This window comes from Homo sapiens, chromosome 10 (assembly GCF_000001405.40).
Source record: "Homo sapiens chromosome 10, GRCh38.p14 Primary Assembly".
Classification (NCBI taxonomy): domain Eukaryota; kingdom Metazoa; phylum Chordata; class Mammalia; order Primates; family Hominidae; genus Homo; species Homo sapiens.
Window position 1 is genome coordinate 861,334 of NC_000010.11, and position 17,622 is coordinate 878,955.

Sequence of the window (17,622 nt, forward strand, 5' to 3'; positions counted from 1 at the left end):
ATTATTTCCTCAATTGTCTGTAAGCTACAGAAAATCTGGGGTATACCTGAAGTATATGATGTTTATTGTACATCGGTTATGCCTCACTAATGCTTTATAGGAGTGAGAGAGGGAGTAGGTGGAGGCAGATGAAGGAGGAAGACAAAGCAGAAGGTATTCTTTTTCTTCTTTTTGAAAATAGTTTTAAATACCCCTTTTAAAAAGAATCACCTTTTGAAATTAAACTTTCCAGAATATACTTTAACATGTTGTTATTTCACTTTTGATAATGTTCCCTATCTTCTATCTTCAGATAGATTTTAACATGTTATTTCACTTTTGGTAACGTTATCTATCTCCTGTCTTCAGGCAGATTTTCACAAGTTATTTCACTGTTGATAACATTACCCATCTTCCATCCTCAAGACAGATCTTCACATCTGTCTACCTCCTATCTATCTTCCATCTTCTGTATAAATTCTGACCCCAGTTCAAGATTAGGTCATTTCAATTTAGTCTGAAACTTAAATTGTTTATTTTGAACCATTTTACTTCCTACCATTAGGATTCTCACTCCCTCAATGTATAATGCCTTTTTATCTTTTGTAAAAATCTGTTTTAATGATGAGCATTCCTTTCCTTTGCCATCTTAAATTCAATGGACTCTAACATGACTCCAGTTTATCCCAATGTTCTGCCATTCCCAAGTCACTAACCAGTTACTGGTGAATTAACAAGGGGGATGTAATCAAATTACATTGCTGAATACTGGCCTTCCTCAGATTTAGAAAACTGCTCATGTAGACGGGAAATTCACTTTATGCAAATTCAAGATGGCAAATTTATATTTACAAGAAACAAGCATGGCTTAATTTTTGTACCTTTATAAATACTTGATTCATTTTACCAAACAATTATTTAAAGCAATAAGCTCCACTGAAGTTAAAAAAAAAAAAAAAAAAAAAAAAACAACCGTCACAGAACATCTACACATTTTCCCTCTTAAGTGACAGTTTCTGACTTTGACAGTCTTAAGCCAATGAAGTCATTCTGCATGGCTGTGCCTTACAGCATCGAGGTCTGGCCTCTCCAGCCCTGCCCAGTGCATTCCCTGGTCACTGGGATAACGAAAAGCCCATGGCAAGTGGGGTGGGGGAGGGGACAGGGACTGGTTAAGAACAATTGTGGTAATAAAAATGAAAACATGAGAGGCCGAGGCGGGCAGATCACAAGGTCAGGAGATCGAGACCATCCTGGCTAACATGGTGAAACCCCATCTTTACTAAAAATACAAAAAATTAGCCGGGCGTGGTGGCAGACGCCTGTAGTCCCAGCTACTCAGGAGGCTGAGGTAGGAGAATGGCATGAACTCAGTAGGCGGAGCTTGCAGTGAGCCGATGTCTCACCACTGCACTCCAGGCTGGGTGACAGTGAGACTCCGTCTCAAAAAAAAAAAATGAAAACATGAAAAAGTTCCTGCATTTCCAGTAACGTGTGGTACACTCCATAACTGGGCCTGAACATCTCCTTTCCCACCTACTCTCTTCCTTTCCGTTTTTTAGCCACTACTACATACTAAGGTACTTACAACCCTACATGAGAACAACAGAGATTCTATCCAGATGGTCTTACATTTGCTTTCCTCCAAGCCATTCTTTCACACTCCTGCAAAATTTACCTTCCCCAAACAACTTATTTTCTTCATGTCACTCATTTCCTCATCAACAGGAAAGAAGTTCAAATGTGAATGGCTTCTAAGACTTGCAAATGGGGCCTCAATTGCCCCTACCTACAATACCACAGCATTCCCTCTCTATCCCCCTCCCTTTACCCAAACTGTCTTACTCTCAAATCCAACATTAACGTTCCACCTCTGCACTTTTACTGACACTTCGCACTACTAAATAGGTTTCATTTTTTTTTTTTTTTGAGATGGAGTCTCGCTCTGTCGCCCAGGCTGGAGTGCAGTGGCACGATCTCGGCTCACTGCAAGCTCCGCCTCCAGGTTCACGCCATTCTCCTGCCTCAGCCTCCCAAATAGCTGGGACTACAGGCGCCCGCCACCACGCCCAGCTGATTTTTTTTGTATTTTTTTTTTAGTAGAGACGGGGTTTTACCGTGTTAGCCAGGATGGTCTTGATCTCCTGACCTCGTGATCTGCCCGCCTCGGCCTCCCGAAGTGCTGGGATGACAGGCGTGAGCCCCCGCGCCCGGCCCAGGTTTCATCTTTTGAGACCTTACATTCCTCCATGGCACCTCCCTAACCAGGGCCTCTCATCTTCTCTGCATCCACATAAGGGTGAGTTTAAAGTAGAATTAAAAGCAGGCAAAGAAAGACCCATTGTGTAGAGAATGTTAATACTCTAAATAAAAAAAATAAATAAAGCAGCCCATATTCCCTGGGAAAATGCACCCATAAGATATGTTTACCTGTCTCGCTATTTTCAGGCAGAGAGTCATATTCTGAGGGACCCAGAGCGAGAGCGTTCATGTCTGCTGGGTCCGACTCCTGCGGGTCTGGCAATGCGGCATTCTCATGGCCCTGGTCACCATCACCATTGGCATCCGATCCTACAATTAGGAGTTTACCCCAAAAAGGCAGGGTTAGAAGCATAACTTTCTCTTAAAACAAAGCTTACACTTGCAGTGACTCAACTTCTTTAGACTGTAAAAGACCTCTGGGCTCTCAAGCACTGCCACATACCATGACACAGTTATGAATGAACAACATCTTAAAGACAGATTAAAATGGCAACAAAAGCACAGGCCTGAAAGCAGGGGGCTGCACACCACGGCCATGCTCAACTTACCCTGCGGGCCACGGTCTGCGTGGTGGCCAGCCACCTCCTCCCATGCAGCACTCACACCGTCAGCAGCACTGCTTGCTTCCAGATGTAACACAGGAGCCCCCCACACTTCTGCATTAGGGTTCAGCTCTGAAACCTTAGTTGCTGGTACCTAGGAAGAAATGTAAGATAGACATTTGTATCCAAATGTCAACCAAATACAATTTTACTCATTAATGCAGAGTTAAGAGACATCAGATATAGGCTCCAAAGGCTCAGCCTATGTATTTATACACACCTTTGGAATGAAATCAGGTTCAAAATTAAAAAAAAAAAAAAAGCAGTCAGAATTCCATTAAATTCCCCCCAAGTTTTAAGTTCCTCCTCCCAAGACCAAGGCTTGCAGAGATGGGGAAGGACACGCCTGCCACCAAAAGATTCAGTGTTTCACAAACTATACCTGAGGAATAGCTGGTGACTTCCTAGACTCCTAATAAAATCACAATTCAGGGTTTTACAAACTTGAATACAAGGCAGATGAATAAAATTCTAATTAGAAAGCTTAAACAAGTCAGCAGGGCGCGGCGGCTCACACCTGTAATCCCAGCACTTTGGGAGGCCAAGGCGGGCGGATCACCTGAGGCCAGGAGTTCATGACCAGCTTGGCCAACATGGAGAAACCTTGTCTCTACTAAAAATACAAAATTAGCCGGGCGTGGTGGCGCATGCCTGTAATCCCAGCTACTCGAGAGGCTGAGGCAGGAGAATCACTTGAACCCAGGAGGCGGGGGTTGCAGTAAGCTGAGATCGCACCACTGCACCCAACCTGGGGGACAGAGCAGAACTCCATCTCTAAAACAAAAGAAAGAAAGAAAGCTTCAAAAAGTCACATAAACAAAAGGTGTAGAAGATGAAAATTGCTCCTAAGAATGAAGGTGTTCTAACAGGTCTGTCAGGGATACTACAGGATAAGAAAGCTCAGGCATCCTTTGAGGAAGAAGATAAAATATCTCATATTTTTCACAGAACTACCTGTTCCCATTCCCAATAGAGCTTCAGTATCACCTTGAAAGAAAATCCACAGGTGACCATGAAGCTGCTAGTCCAGTGTTCTGGACAACGGACTCTCAGATCACTGGGGCTGAGGCCAAAGCTGCCATGGACAGCTGTGGAACATGGGCTAAACCTCACCTGGAAGACAGCACAACAACATGATGCCTGGCACATACCAAGCTCATCGGCCATCATGACAGTCACGCATGCTCAGTTAGTCCCACAGGGCAGTCCTCTACTCAAAACCCTCCCGCATCAGCTTGGCTCATTTGGAGTAAAAGACGAAGTTCCCACTGCAGCCACAGCGCCCTCCTGTGCTCACTGCTCCCTGGCCTTGTCCATTTCCAGGCACACTGACCTCCTTGCTGTCTCTGGGCACACTGGCACTTTTGCTCTTCCCGTCCGTCTGTCCAGAACATCCTGCCCAGAGACTGGGGACTGGTGGTCCTTCCTGACACAGCGAATAAACCCACAAAAGTCCCCCACCATGTGGATACTCCCTACTCCCCTGATTTTTCTGATACAAGCCTTTCTTATGCTTACACAAGCACTCCCCAAAGCCTAAAGAAAAGTCAAATGTCCAAACACACAATCCTTCAACAAACTTACACATGATTTGCCTTTTCAAATGTGCCACCCACCTTCACACCACAGTGCAGGAAGTCAAAGCTTCTGGAGGAAGGGACAGGTCCCTGGTCCCCGGTGCCCCTTGGAATCAGGCTGCAAGCTGGGAGCAGTTACACTGCACTACCCCAGCATGCAGCATAGACACACCAGTTTCTGCGGCCCAGAACACAGGAGAAGGGCTGGAAAGGACCACCATGAGCCGTCAAATAAACGATGGGTGCATTAACAATTTTTAAAAGACAGAATAAATCCACATTGGCTCAGGTGATGGGGCTGGTAGTAAAAAACATGAAACTATTTCTGAAACTGAGAGAAGGCAGCTGATGTGGTTTGTTCGTTCCTGCTCCCCCAGTCACTGGAGCACCAATGAGCACCATGCCCATAAAACCAGGTGTTTAAATGAGTATCTATCTGGAATTCTTTTTAGTTTTTGTTTTAAGTACTGGTGATAGGGCAAATTATTGGGTTCCTTCAAGAATATTATAATCAAGAAGCACCAATTCTTCAATTTTCCTTCTTGCATTGCATCTAAACTTCATTTTTGGCCTCTGCTTCTGCATAGTGTTACTTGCCCTCTTCTCTCTCATCCACCCATCTGTCCAACAAGTGCCTCTGACATGTTCACCAGCATGCTTGTGCCAGGCACGGCACTGAGCTGGCAGGTGTGATGGTGAAGGAAGCAGACAGGAGCTCATGGAGCTACATGAGGGGGCAGGAGACAGCCACAGGTCACCCACAACACTGCCTCTGGCAGCGTTTACGCCGCTCCACCTGATCTGTTGTCTTTGTAAATTCATTTCTCTATTCTCTTTCCCACTCTAATACTTCCATACATCACCTTTCCTAATTAGACCCAGTCTGTTTTCACCACCACCACACAATCCAGTTTTCCAGCCTCGGTTCCATTCCATCCACTTAGCTGGCTCCCCTCAGCTCATGCACATACTACACGTGCTTTAAATTCCCAACACTAACTAACAGTAACCTTCTCTATTATTAGTACCTTTTGCAGTTGACTGTCCTATAGTACCAAAATACATTTTGTGGTTTATTAATACAGACCAACAGCACTTTGAAAGCAGTGACAGCATGGCTGTTGGGGCTCCCGTGGCCCTCGTGTTCCTCCTATTCCAGGGTGGCAGTCACCATGGGCATTTTCCTCACTGTAGTACTGCTGATAGCCAGCACAGTCCTGAATTCAGTAGGGAGGTGCTCAAGATATATGAGGAATGAATCAATGTTTAATAAATAACATAAATTTATATTTTCCACTATTTGACAACTTCTGCAAGGTTTTATGCCACAAATGACTAGGACTCTACCCTTAACCAATGACTACCTCTTAGTGAAGAAGTCCAAATCAAGTGTATGCAGTTAGGAAATGTTCAATCAATGCTGTGACTGAAGAGATGTCACCAGGAATGAAAGAATGAAGATGTCTTTTAAGGCTTAATGACATTCAAGGATCTACCACGTGCTGAGCACATTCTACGCACTTCCTTGTACTGAATCAGAACAAGTCTTGGAGGTCGTTATTCACTGGACTCATTTCACAAATGAAAAAACCAAGGCAGAGAAAGGTAGAGTAACTTCCCCATAAAAACGATGGTAATTAGAAAGTTAGATTCTAAGCAATTGCGTTCAGCAAAATTCAACACTCATCAAGAGTTCATTAACTTATAATTTATGAGAAATAGTTTGTATTAAACAAAGATCTGAATCTCCTACTATTTCTATAAAATATGGTTATTCTCTTGCAGTAATATGGAACTCTAAATGGTTATCAAGAACTCCAGCGTCGGCCGGGTGTGGTGGCTTATGCCTGCGATCCCAGCATGTTGGGAGGCCAAGATGGGCAGATCACTTGTGGTCAGGAGTTCAAGTCCAGCCTGGCCAACATGGTGAAACCCCGTCTCTACTGAAAATACAAAAGTTAGCTGGGTGTGGTGGCACACACCTGTAATCCCAGCTACTTGGGAGGCTGAGGCAGGAGAATCATTTGAACTCAGGAGGCGGAGGTTGCAGTGAGCTGAGATAGTACCACTGCCCTCCAGCCTGGGTGACAGAGCAAGACTCCATCCTTGAAAAAAAAAAAAAAAAAAAAAAAACTCCAGTGTCGTCTGCTTGACTATAAGTCTTATTTTTCCATTAAAAATGTATGGCTAAGCAATGGTTATTAAAACCACAGGCAAGCTGACCTTAACAGCCACATTCCAAAGTGAACATGCCTGAGTTCTGATGCTTTAAATAAACCCTTCCACCCCACCCCATCCTGTGCGAAACAATATGCTCCACTTTGAAAAATAACGTATCAATTAATAAGCTTGTATAACTACCGATACGAGACAGAACAGTCTCTCTGACAAGTTACTGACTAGGAACTGGAGTAATTAATGCTGGAGAAGGGGGACTGGCCGGTGAGGTACAGAAAGCAGGTGAGAAATAGGGGAAAGAAACATTCCATGCAAGCACCAACCACTCCTACAGATGCACTAAAAAGCTTAGTAATTCAGGGCAATTTGCTGACTTCAGAACCATACAAGGCTCTACCTCCAGTTCTTTGTGAAATGGAGTAATAGCTGCTATATTAAGATTTGCTTAAAAAAAAAAAAAAAAAAAGACACCTGTAACAGCACTTTGAAAATTGAAGCTCTGAAAGGCAAGGCACCATCGTTAAACGTGGTAACGCTTCGTATGAGAATACTGTTTGGGAATACCTCATAATGGAAAAGCTAATTTAAAACTGGAAGCACACCTCTCACTTAGGCATCATTTATGCTCTTTGTTGATGTCTGAGGCAGTGACACTGGTAACTAACTGAAAATTATGTCACTTCTGTAAAAGATTAACTGCAGATTATCTTAAAGATGTAGTTTTATACTGTTTTGCCTCCACAACTATTTAAGGAGCAAAACTAATGAATTTGAACATAACTCTCTCCAGAAAAACTCCCAGTGTGGGCACGGAAATAAAAGAGGTTGATGGATCATTCCTTACACTACAGAAGGGGATTTCTACTTGTTTATTTCCATATAGTAAGTGTTGACATTTGAGCCATCTCTACCTCCTTAATATCAATACTTTTCCTTGCTTCATTGCCCACAAAAATCATGAATAAACCACTGGTTGAATAATGAGATCTTGCTACTCTGAGTATGTGCTTTCAATCACACTGCTTCGATAAATGTCTGTTTTGTGGAAGAAAACTAATTTCCTGTTGTTGAATGATGTTGACATTTATTACAGAATTTCTGGAAAGATGCTCAAATTAGCTGCCCATAGAGTCATTTGCTAAGCTTCTTCCAAACCAGAGGGACAGCCTTATCTCGGGGTTCTGAAAAAGAAAGAGCTCCACAGTAATTCTAACTGCAAGAAGACAGAACCAAGATTTCATAGGCAGTTAAAAGCAGCAAATTCTACCTGCCTCAGACACATACAAAGATATAAGGAAGCACAGATTTTTAGGTAAGTTTGTCTTCTGCAGTGTGACTTATACCTTCAATGGGCTCACATGCTTATCGAATCAACTACACTGCCCACGAGATAAGATGCCCTCAAAGGGCTCTGACAACACTGCGGCCAGGAAGACAGAAGAGCTGGCAAAATTCACAGACAGAAAAAAGTCAACACAGAGCTCAGGGCATGCTTTAGTGCTAACAAGAGTTTGCACACAACCTCTGGCTTAAGTACACCAAACAAGAATTCATATTCTCCAATTTGGAAATCATTAATGTTATAGTAATTCACAGCCATATATAAGCATTCAAATAACTACCCACTGTTTAGAGTAAATCTTTATTAATTTTAAGTTAAAAACAATTAAAATTGGCCAGCCCGGTGGCTCATGCCTGCAATGCCAGCACTTTGGGAGGCTGAGGCGGGTGGATCTCCTGAGGTCAGGAGTTCAAAACCGGCCTGGCCAACATGGCGAAATCCCATCTCTAAAAATACAAAAATTAGCCAGGTGTAGTGGCACATGCCTGTAATCCCAATTACTCGGGAGGCTGAGTCACGAGAATTACTTGAACCCGGCAATCACTTGAACTTGGGAGGTGGAGGTTGCAGTGAGCTGAGATCACGCCACTGCAACTTGGGTGACAAAAGTGAGACTCTGTCTCAAAAAATAAATAATAATAATAATAATAATAATAATAATAATAATAATAATAATAAATTAAAATGTATAGCCCAGCATACCGCAGCACAATAGTAAACACACAGAAAACATACTTACGAACTGTCCGTCTCTATCATGCCATCCCCAAACAACACCGTCCTCTGACACCGGTAGCTGAGGAGTGTTTTCTGAAAACAAAGCAATTTCCAAGGCCTGTGGCTTATGGTGCAGATCCTCACTAAATATTGTTTCACCTTCTAGAGCACCTTTTGTGACTGTATTAGTCCAGAGATAGCCCATTTGATATCCACCACAACCACTGGCCAGTCTTTCAGAAAATGCTGGGTTTCCTAACCCTCCCATCGGGTAATAGGAAAATTCACTCAAAAAACGGGAGACTCCTTCTGGGAAACTCTGCCAATCCACTTTTGAGGGATGTTCACATCTATTTAGGACACCTTCTGTGAGTGATAAAATGTGGCCACTACTTGGTACAATCGTGTCTTTGCTGTCCACGGGGACAGCGGGAATCCCCTGCGCTGCATCGCAGGGGGCACCTGTGTATCTGTCCGCTAGGGTGGGATCAACACCAACCAGAAAGAAATTGCCACTGGGAGTGTCACGTGACTCTATTTTCTCAAAACTCACCTTAGCATTTCCCATAAAACCCATTTCACCATTTAAAGTCGACTGTGTAAGAGTGGACTTGGCGTTTCCTTCTTTGAAATGGTGTGCACGTTCACTCGTCCCACATGGACCCAGGCAGTCAGTAATTCTGGGGTCAATACTATCTTTCTCCAAATAAAGTCTCTCTTCCTCTTCTTTACATGTTAGTTTTGGTTTACTCAACCCTGATGTATTATTACCAAAGATACCAGAAGCTTCTTCAATTGATTCAGAGGAAATTCCCTTCCATTTTGGGCTTTTACCACCACTAACAGAATTCTCTACTATTTCTGACTTCTGTATAACTGGATTAACACTTGGACTGAAATGTGGTAACACACTAAGAACATTATATTTGCAGTCGTATACTCGGTGTGTTTCATAACTTTTTTCTATTTGATTAGTTTCAAAATCAGCGTTCTCTGTTGCACTAGAACTAACACAGGAGAGTACATCCTGACTTGGCACTGCCTCATGTCTTTGTGTACCTGTTTCCCACTCATAGGTTGTTTTAGAATCTGACTTGACAGTCTCTATGTCATCTTCACTTGTCTCACTATACTTTGCTTGCAGTGATTCTTTTTCACTACCTTCTAACCTTTGAGGGTCACTCAGCTGGTCTCGTGACACACTGACTGAACTCTTCACACATATTTCACCCTCTGTTTTGTCACCTGGGCTTGTTTCCCTCTCTTCTTCCTCTGTGCAGGTGAAAATAAATGCGGAGGAAACACAGTTACTGTGAAGAGATCTGGAGTGACTGGGAGACTTGCCATCGGGGGGCACTCCTTGTGCCATGCTAAGCTTTAGGCCATCTGTCCTCTGCACCGTCCCCTGCGTGTCCACCACACGCTCCACACAAGTTTGGTCACAGGTCTGTGTTGCAGCCTCATCTGCTTGACACCAAGATTTTGACTCAAAAGCCCTTACACCATGACCCTCAGCCTTCCAAACGCCAATTCTGTCCTCTTCTTGGTAAAAGGCACTATTTTCAGATTGCAGAGACACCTCACCTCTGTCTGGCAGCAGGGGACTTCTGGCCTCCAGGCTGCAGTCCCCTCTGCGCTGTGCCTTCCTGACTTGTCTGGGGACAGGTTCCGGCTCCCAGCAGTCATCAAGCTGGCTTGGGGCTGCTTCTCTTGAATTAGCGTGACCTGAGAGACACCCACTTCCAAATCTTACTGCAGTGATAGGCCTCTTAGGACTTAAATCAATTCTATCTAGACCAACAGGAAGGATACTATCTGCTTTGTTAACGTCCAAGTAGAAATCATCGTTGTCTCTTAGTGGTGTGATAGAGTTATTTTCTCTCTCCTTTTTAGAATGTAAACTCTGGTCGACAACAACTGTTACCACCTCCGGGTCATCACTCCCTGCAACACATGCAGTGTCAGTACAAAAGCTACCAGGTGAATGTGCAGTGTCAGTACGGAAGCCACCAGGTGGATGATCCATCTCACTTCCTACTCCTGAGTTACAGCTCTCACTTTCTCCCAGGACACACGCATGACTTAGTGAGTCACTGTCCATGTTGTTATTTAATTCAGGGAGTAGGTCAATACCATGTAGTGCACTACTTTCTGCGTAATTTTTAGGGAATTCAGTGCAAGCTTCTGCCTGTAAAGCCTCCATCTGCACGTTATCAGTGTTTGCTTCACAAGGTGCATGGCTGAACGCCACAGGCTCAGGGCAAGGCTTGGCTTTCCCACTGCATTCCCCTGTCCTTTCACCTGGACCCAGCGTGTCCCAAGGCGAGAGTTCTTCCTGCCGTGGCTCTGGCTCGCCCGCCCCTGACATGGCACGCGAGGCTGAAGGCACTGAAGAGCAACACTCTCCTCTTGCAGCTACTGTGTCTACCCAGGTGCCCAGCTCCTCTGCCACGCTTGGGCAGGCAGAGTCGGCAACACAAATGCTGTGAAACTTGCACTCTCCTGAATCCTGACATTGCTGATCATCAATACCAACAGGGTTTCCATCTTTCCTCTCCCTATCGGATAGGTCTAAAGACTTACTCTCATCACCACTGCTGAGGTGAACGCTGACCACCATTTCTTTCTCTACTAAAGAGTTTTTACAAGTAGCTGGGTAACAGTGCAGATGGCCACTCACAAAGGCTTCCTCCTGCAGGCCTCGGTCAGAAGGCACCAGCACACATGAGAAAAGCTCCTCATCTTCCCAACAACCTTGTCGGCTGCCGTTACCCACACACAGTAGATCACAGACCCCCTCAGAATTCTGCTCATTAACAACAATATCTGAATTCTTGTCATTCTCACCCAAGTTTTCATACCTTGTTGAGAATGTATATATAAAAGAGGAAAGAGGGTTCAATGACTGCTTGGGTCTATGACCCTGTTTGTGCCCAGACCCTGCGAAAATCCTTGTCCGCGCGCTAACGCCAGCTACACTGCTGGCTCCACTGCCAGTACGGTGAACCTCCTCACCTTTGACGGTATCAAATAATGAAGACAAAGTTTTACTTATCTTGTTTTCTGGTTCCTTTTCCTCCACAGATTTTTGTAACAGGCCAGTTTTTTCACTGTCATTGTCACTACTTAGTTCTCTGCTGAAGCAGCAGCCCATGTTTGAGAGCTCACAAGCACACGACAGGCGTGCTGGTCCCAAGCCTCCACAGACGCACCTCACAGTAACTTGCTATAATTTCTGAGGAGAAGCCAACACCCAGAGACCAAAAATAACCCCTTGCACAGCGGTCACATGTTCCTGCCACTCAAACCCAAATCCTAATGACAACAGAGCCCGACTGACAGCCAGCATACTCCGTGTGCCCAATTCCAAACAGGACCAGGATCCAAAAGCTCAGAACAGCAGCAAGAATGCTGCGCTGTATTTTTTCTTACTCTCATAAACTCAATAAAACATAACTTAAAATATTATCCCAGCCAGAAAGATTTCAGGCTTCTGGTTTTTCTACAGTGTTCCAGTATTTCCCAAATTATATTTCATGGGATGGTGGTAACTAAATAAAATAGTTCATAAATTCCCCCAAAGGAAAACAGTATCAGAATTTTGTTCCGTAAAATATATAGCTACTCACAGTTGTATCTAATTTTCTAGCTTTACGAAATGATGTCTGAAATAAATAGCAATTTAAAAAGAGACGAAAAAATCAAAGGAGAGCAAAAAAATAAATAGCAATAAAAAATAGTATCTGTAGGTATCAAGAAATTATTACTAATTGTGTCAGGTGTGAAAATGGAATGATGTCAGTTAGAGATGCATGCTGAAGTATCTGGGATAAAGTGACACATTATCTACAATTTGCTTTAAAATGCCCTAGCAAATATAGTAAATATATACACACATATATAAAAGTTAAAACAGTCATGTGCATACAGGGAGGAAAAGATTTAAAGACAGTAGTCCAGGCCGGACGTGGTGGCTCATGCCTGTAATCCCAGCACTTTGGGAGGCCGAGGTGGGTGGATCACCAGAGGTCAGGAGTTTCAAGACCAGCCTGGCCAACATGGTGAAAACCCGTCTCTACTAAAAATACAAAAAATTAGCTGAGCATGGGAGTGTGTGCCTGTAGTTCCAGCTACTCGGAAGGCTGAGGCAGGAGAATCACTTGAACCCAGGTGGCAGAGGTTGCAGTGAGCCAAGATTGCGCCACTGCACTCCAGCCTGGGTGACAAGAGTGAGACTCCATCTCAAACAAAACAAAACAAAACAAAACAGTAGTCGAATGTGGCGATGGGTAATGTTCAAGTTAATGATGCTGCATTTGGTTCATGGTATTATTCGCTCCACTTCTGCAGATGTCTGAGCACTCCAATTAAGAAAAAGGAAGGAACAAGAAAAAAAAGGGAAAATAGATCTACAAGCTCTGGTACCAGAACTAGAAAGTCTCTTGAAAGTACTTGATGCAGGAACGCACAGCCTGCCATCTGGTGAAAAACAGGCGTTGTCCACAACTAAACAAGTTGCTCATGTACTATGTGGTCCAGTCCCTAACTGTGGACTCACATAATGGGTCTTGTCTTACATTGACATCTGTGATGTTTTGCTTTTAGTATAAGTAATTCTTTTTCTTATTATGGTTCTGACAGGCTATGTGAAAAACAAAATAATTCTTTTAGTTCCTCTGCAAGAGAGATTTTGTTGTTTCTTTAACCTATGAGTTATGACTGGTGTCCTATTAATGTTTTACTTTTTAAAAATATTAACATTTTTATGATAAAAAGTTTAGGAATTACACTTAAACATAAAGGTAACAAGAACACTTATGAATATACTAAAATTCAAGTACTGAAATCATCATAATGATTATGATGATAATGGTAGTCAACACTTTATATAGCACTATGTTTCACAAAATATTAATTACATCTATGCATCCATTTTGTCACACGTCTTAATTTGCACCCTTAACAACCCCCAAGGTAGATACTACTAATTCACTGTACAGATAAGGGAAATGAGGCACCAAGAACTTTAGTAGCAGCTTCGAATGACAAAACAAAACTCAGACCATACATTGACCATACTGTTATGCTACTCAAAGAGAATTAAACATCTACATGGCAAAAACGTTCTGCACTAAAGACACAAACGATTCATACCAGCTGTAAAATGAAAGGACATAGTAAAGCAGAGAAGCTCACGAGATCACCTGCCTGGCTTTGAGTCTCAGCTCCATTTTTACATGTGTCATCTCTGGCAAATTATTTAACCTCTTTGTCTCAGTTTTCTCATTTGTAAAATGGAGCCAACACCGACATCTATTTCAAAGAGCTGTTAGGCAGACTTTAAGTAGTTGGAATAGAATCTCAGAGTCCCACTTCAAAGTCCCCCATAATCTGGCCCCAGCCTACCTCTATGATCTCGGCTTCTAAGATACCATTCCCCCGACCTCTTCTATCTCATACTAACCAATGCCAGCACACTGCCTCAATGTTGTTTCTTTCTCCAGTCTCCTCCCCACACTTTTCAAGCCTTGAAGTCCTTTGTGAAACCATTCTGTGCTGCTCTAACAGAATACCTGAGATGGGGCAATTTATAAAGAACAGAGATTATTTCACACAATTCTGGAGGCTGAGAGTCTCAAGTCGAGAGGCTGCTTCTGGAGAGGCCTTTGTGCTGCACCATCACACATGTGAGGAAATGCAGTCACTCCCACCACAATGGCACTCATCCACTCCTCCACTTGTGAGGGCAGAGCCTGGTGTCCTTATCACCCCTTAGAAGGCCCTACCTCCCAATGCTGCTGCACGGCGGACTGATTTTCCAACACATGAACTTTGGGGGACACATGAAAAACACAGCATTCCATTCCAGCTCCCACAATTCATGTCCTTCTTATAATGCAAAAAATACTCATTCCATCCCAATACCTCCAATAGTCTTAACTCATTTCAGCATCAACTTAAAAGTCCAGAGTCTCATCTGAATCAGATAGGGTGAGACTCAAGGCACAATTCACCCCAAGATCAATTCCTCTCCAGCCCTGAGTGTTGAAAGTAACAAGTTATGTGTTTCCAAAATACAATGGTGGGACAGGCACACACACAAAAAAATTCCCGACCAGGTGCGATGGCTCACGCCTGTAATCCCAACACTTAGGGAGGCCAAAGCAGGCGGATCACCTGAGATCAAAAGTTCGAGACCAGCCTGACCAACATGGAGAAACCCCGTCTCTACTAATACAAAAAATTAGCCGGGTGTGGTGGTGCATGCCTGTAATCCCAGCTACTTGAGAGGCTGAGGCAGGAGAATCGCTTGAACCCAGCGGGTCAGAGGCTGCAGTGAGCAGATATCACACCATCGCACTCCAGCCTGGGCAACAAGAGCAAAACTCCGTCTCAGAAAAAAGAAAAGAAAAAAAAATCTATTTCCAAAAGGGAGAAATAGGCAAGAAGAAGCAAGAGGTCCCAAGTTCAAGACCCAACAGGGCAGACAATATTAAATATTAAGCCTCTCTGGAGAATCATCTCCTTTGACTCCATGTCCCAACCCTCTGGGCACAGTGGAACAGGGTTGGCTCCCCAGGGCCTCAAGCAGCCCCACCCGATGGCTTTGCTGGGCTCAGTCCACCCAGCAGCTGTCAGGGGTTGGAGTCTCCTGCCCACAGCTCTCCCAGGCTGATGCTGCAAGCTGGCAGCTCCACAGTTTAAGGCTCCCAGGCCACTCCCATGACTCTACTAGGCAATGCCCTGGTGGGGGCTTCTCTGCAGCAGGTTCAACTCCAAATTTCTGCTTGCCATTGCCCGAGTACAGGCTCTCTGCAGTGGCTCTGCTCCTGTGACAAGTCTCTGCCTGGGCCCCCAGGCTGTCCATGACATCTCTTGAAATCTAGGTGGAGGCTGCCCCACAGCTCTAGCATTCTTCTTGCCTGAAAAATCAGCACCACATGGATGCCACCAAGGTTTATGACTTGTACCTTCTGGAGCCGCAGCTCAAGCCACCACTGGGCCCACTCAAGCAGCAGCTGAGGTGACTAAGGAGCAATGCACAGGATGTGGGGAGCAGAGGTCCGAGGCGGCTCTGGGCAGCAAGCCTGTGGAGGGCCCCCAGTGCTCATCTACCAAAACCCTTCTGCCCTCCTAGAGGGCAAATGTGATGGGCCTGTGATGGGGGAACAGCCTTAAAGATATCTGAAATAGCCTCGCCAACACAGCAAGACCCCATCTCTACAAATAAAAATTAAAAGTTAGCTGGGTGTGGGGGCGCGTGTCTGTAGTACCAGCTACTTGGGAGGCTGAGGTAGGAGGATAACTTGAGTCCAAAAGTTCAAGGCTGCAGTGAGCTATTACTGTTCTACTGCACTCCAGCCTGGGTGACAGAGCAAGACCCTGTCTCTAAAAAAACAAACAATTCTGAAAAGCCTTTCAGATGGCTGAAAGAGCTGAGTGTTTTAAATTATTTCCTTCTGGTTTCTCTTTTTAAATGAAATAACGGTGCCAAATACAAAGTATTTCCTCTTGAGTTTGGACTCTGAAGCCAGATTGCCTGGGTTCAAATCCTGGTTCTACCACTTTTTAGTCCAGTAATCTTGGGGATAAATTACTTAAACCTCTTTGTGTCTCAGTTTCCTCATTTGTAAAATGGGGATAACAGTACCTAGGGGTAAGACAGGTGTAGGGCTAACAGGAATTTATGAGTAAACGGAAGTGTTAGGAGAGTGCACAGTAAGAGCCATGAGAGTCTGCAGTGATTACCACCATATGTGATATATTCTTTTACACTGGAGACATTTATGGAGCACCTACCTGTCAGGAAGACACTGGAATACATCAGTAAACAAAACTAAACCCCAGATTTGATGGAGCTTGCATTCTAGTCCAGGGAGACAAACACTAAATCTAACAAATACCTAACATTGTTAGAAGGTGCTAACTGCTACACGTAAAGGGTCTGAGGCAAGCCAGAAGTGAGGAGACGGATGCGGATAGATGGGGCTCGCTGAGAAGGTGAGGCCGAGACTGAGAAAGGTAAGAGCATAAGCCTCAAAGACTTCTGGGAAAGGGGCACACCAGAACCAATTGAGGCAGAGAGCCCTGCGGTAAGGTGATGCTGGAATGGTCAAGGGTCAAGAGCCCACTGGGGCTGGAGCAGCGTGCCAGAGGAGAGCCAGTGGGCAGCAGAGTCAGAGAGGACAGGTGCCAGACTACGAAGGCTAGGGACCTGCCAGAACTCAGGCTAACTGTGATGTTGAGCACAGGAGTGGCAGGTTCTGACTTGGCCTTCTCGAAGGGATCCTCTGGCCACTGTGTTAGAAAGGAAGGGTGGGTTGGGGACACCAGTGAGGAGTGACTGCAGCTGTCCAGGTGAGAAGCACTGGCTCCATGAGATGAGAAGTCCAAACAAAAAATGAAGCAGCCTGACCATCTCAGAAACTCTGACACCCCTGCGTGACTCATGTATCTCATCTACACAAGTTCCCTGATTTGAAGATACACGTTTCTCCTACTTTCACAATTTCTATAATTGTGACATGTCTTCGAATTGCTGCCAAAACTGAAAATTGCTGTTTCAGGATCTGGCAGTGGATTACCTACGTGTGTTTATTTTGCAGAAATACACTGAGTTGTACTTTTACGATCTGTGCACATAGCTGTATGTGTTGTATTTCCACACACATGTAAGGACACCGGGGCCTAGGAAGGCAGCCAGTTGCCAGGCAGCGGACTCCGACACATCTGTCGCTTCCTCCCAGTGATGTGACTATTCTCTCAGTACAACTGTTTGCATGGTACTGCCACACAAAGTTGATTTATAAATCTACTATTGAACAAAATGCCTTAATAGCAATTAAACTGAATCCTAAAATGAAAAAGAGTTTGCAAAAAAACTATTTGTCATATTCTAAATGATGCAAATACTAAGCAATAAAATTACTAATTTTTTTAAAGAAATTACAAAATGTTCTAAGTT

The 17,622-nt window shown here is 44.1% G+C and overlaps 1 protein-coding gene across 18 annotated transcripts in view, besides 1 other annotated feature; it reads right to left on the reverse strand.

Annotated features, from left to right (window-relative positions):
- LARP4B (La ribonucleoprotein 4B) overlaps nt 1–17,622 on the reverse strand; it is a 181,428-nt gene that overhangs the window by 54,420 nt on the left and 109,386 nt on the right. For 12 of the 18 annotated variants that reach the window (XM_047424897.1, XM_047424894.1, XM_047424893.1 and 9 more), the window contains 2 exons: nt 2,790–2,937; nt 2,410–2,550 (listed from right to left, as the gene is read on the reverse strand). In XM_047424897.1, coding sequence (XP_047280853.1) covers nt 2,410–2,550; nt 2,790–2,937 — 289 coding nt within the window. Of the gene's footprint in view, nt 1–2,409; nt 2,551–2,789; nt 2,938–8,675; nt 8,751–10,241; nt 11,878–17,622 lie in introns of those variants that run through there. The other 6 variants (XR_001747069.2, XM_017015988.2, XM_017015987.2 and 3 more) reach the window with 2 other exon arrangements.
- Nucleotides 1,583–2,427: an enhancer, noted in NCBI's record as "H3K4me1 hESC enhancer chr10:908856-909700 (GRCh37/hg19 assembly coordinates)". NCBI's record gives its function as "activates a minimal SCP1, AML or CMV promoter by ChIP-STARR-seq in naive H9 embryonic stem cells {active_cell/tissue: H9 hESC(naive)}" and the evidence as "EXISTENCE:reporter gene assay evidence [ECO:0000049][PMID:30033119]".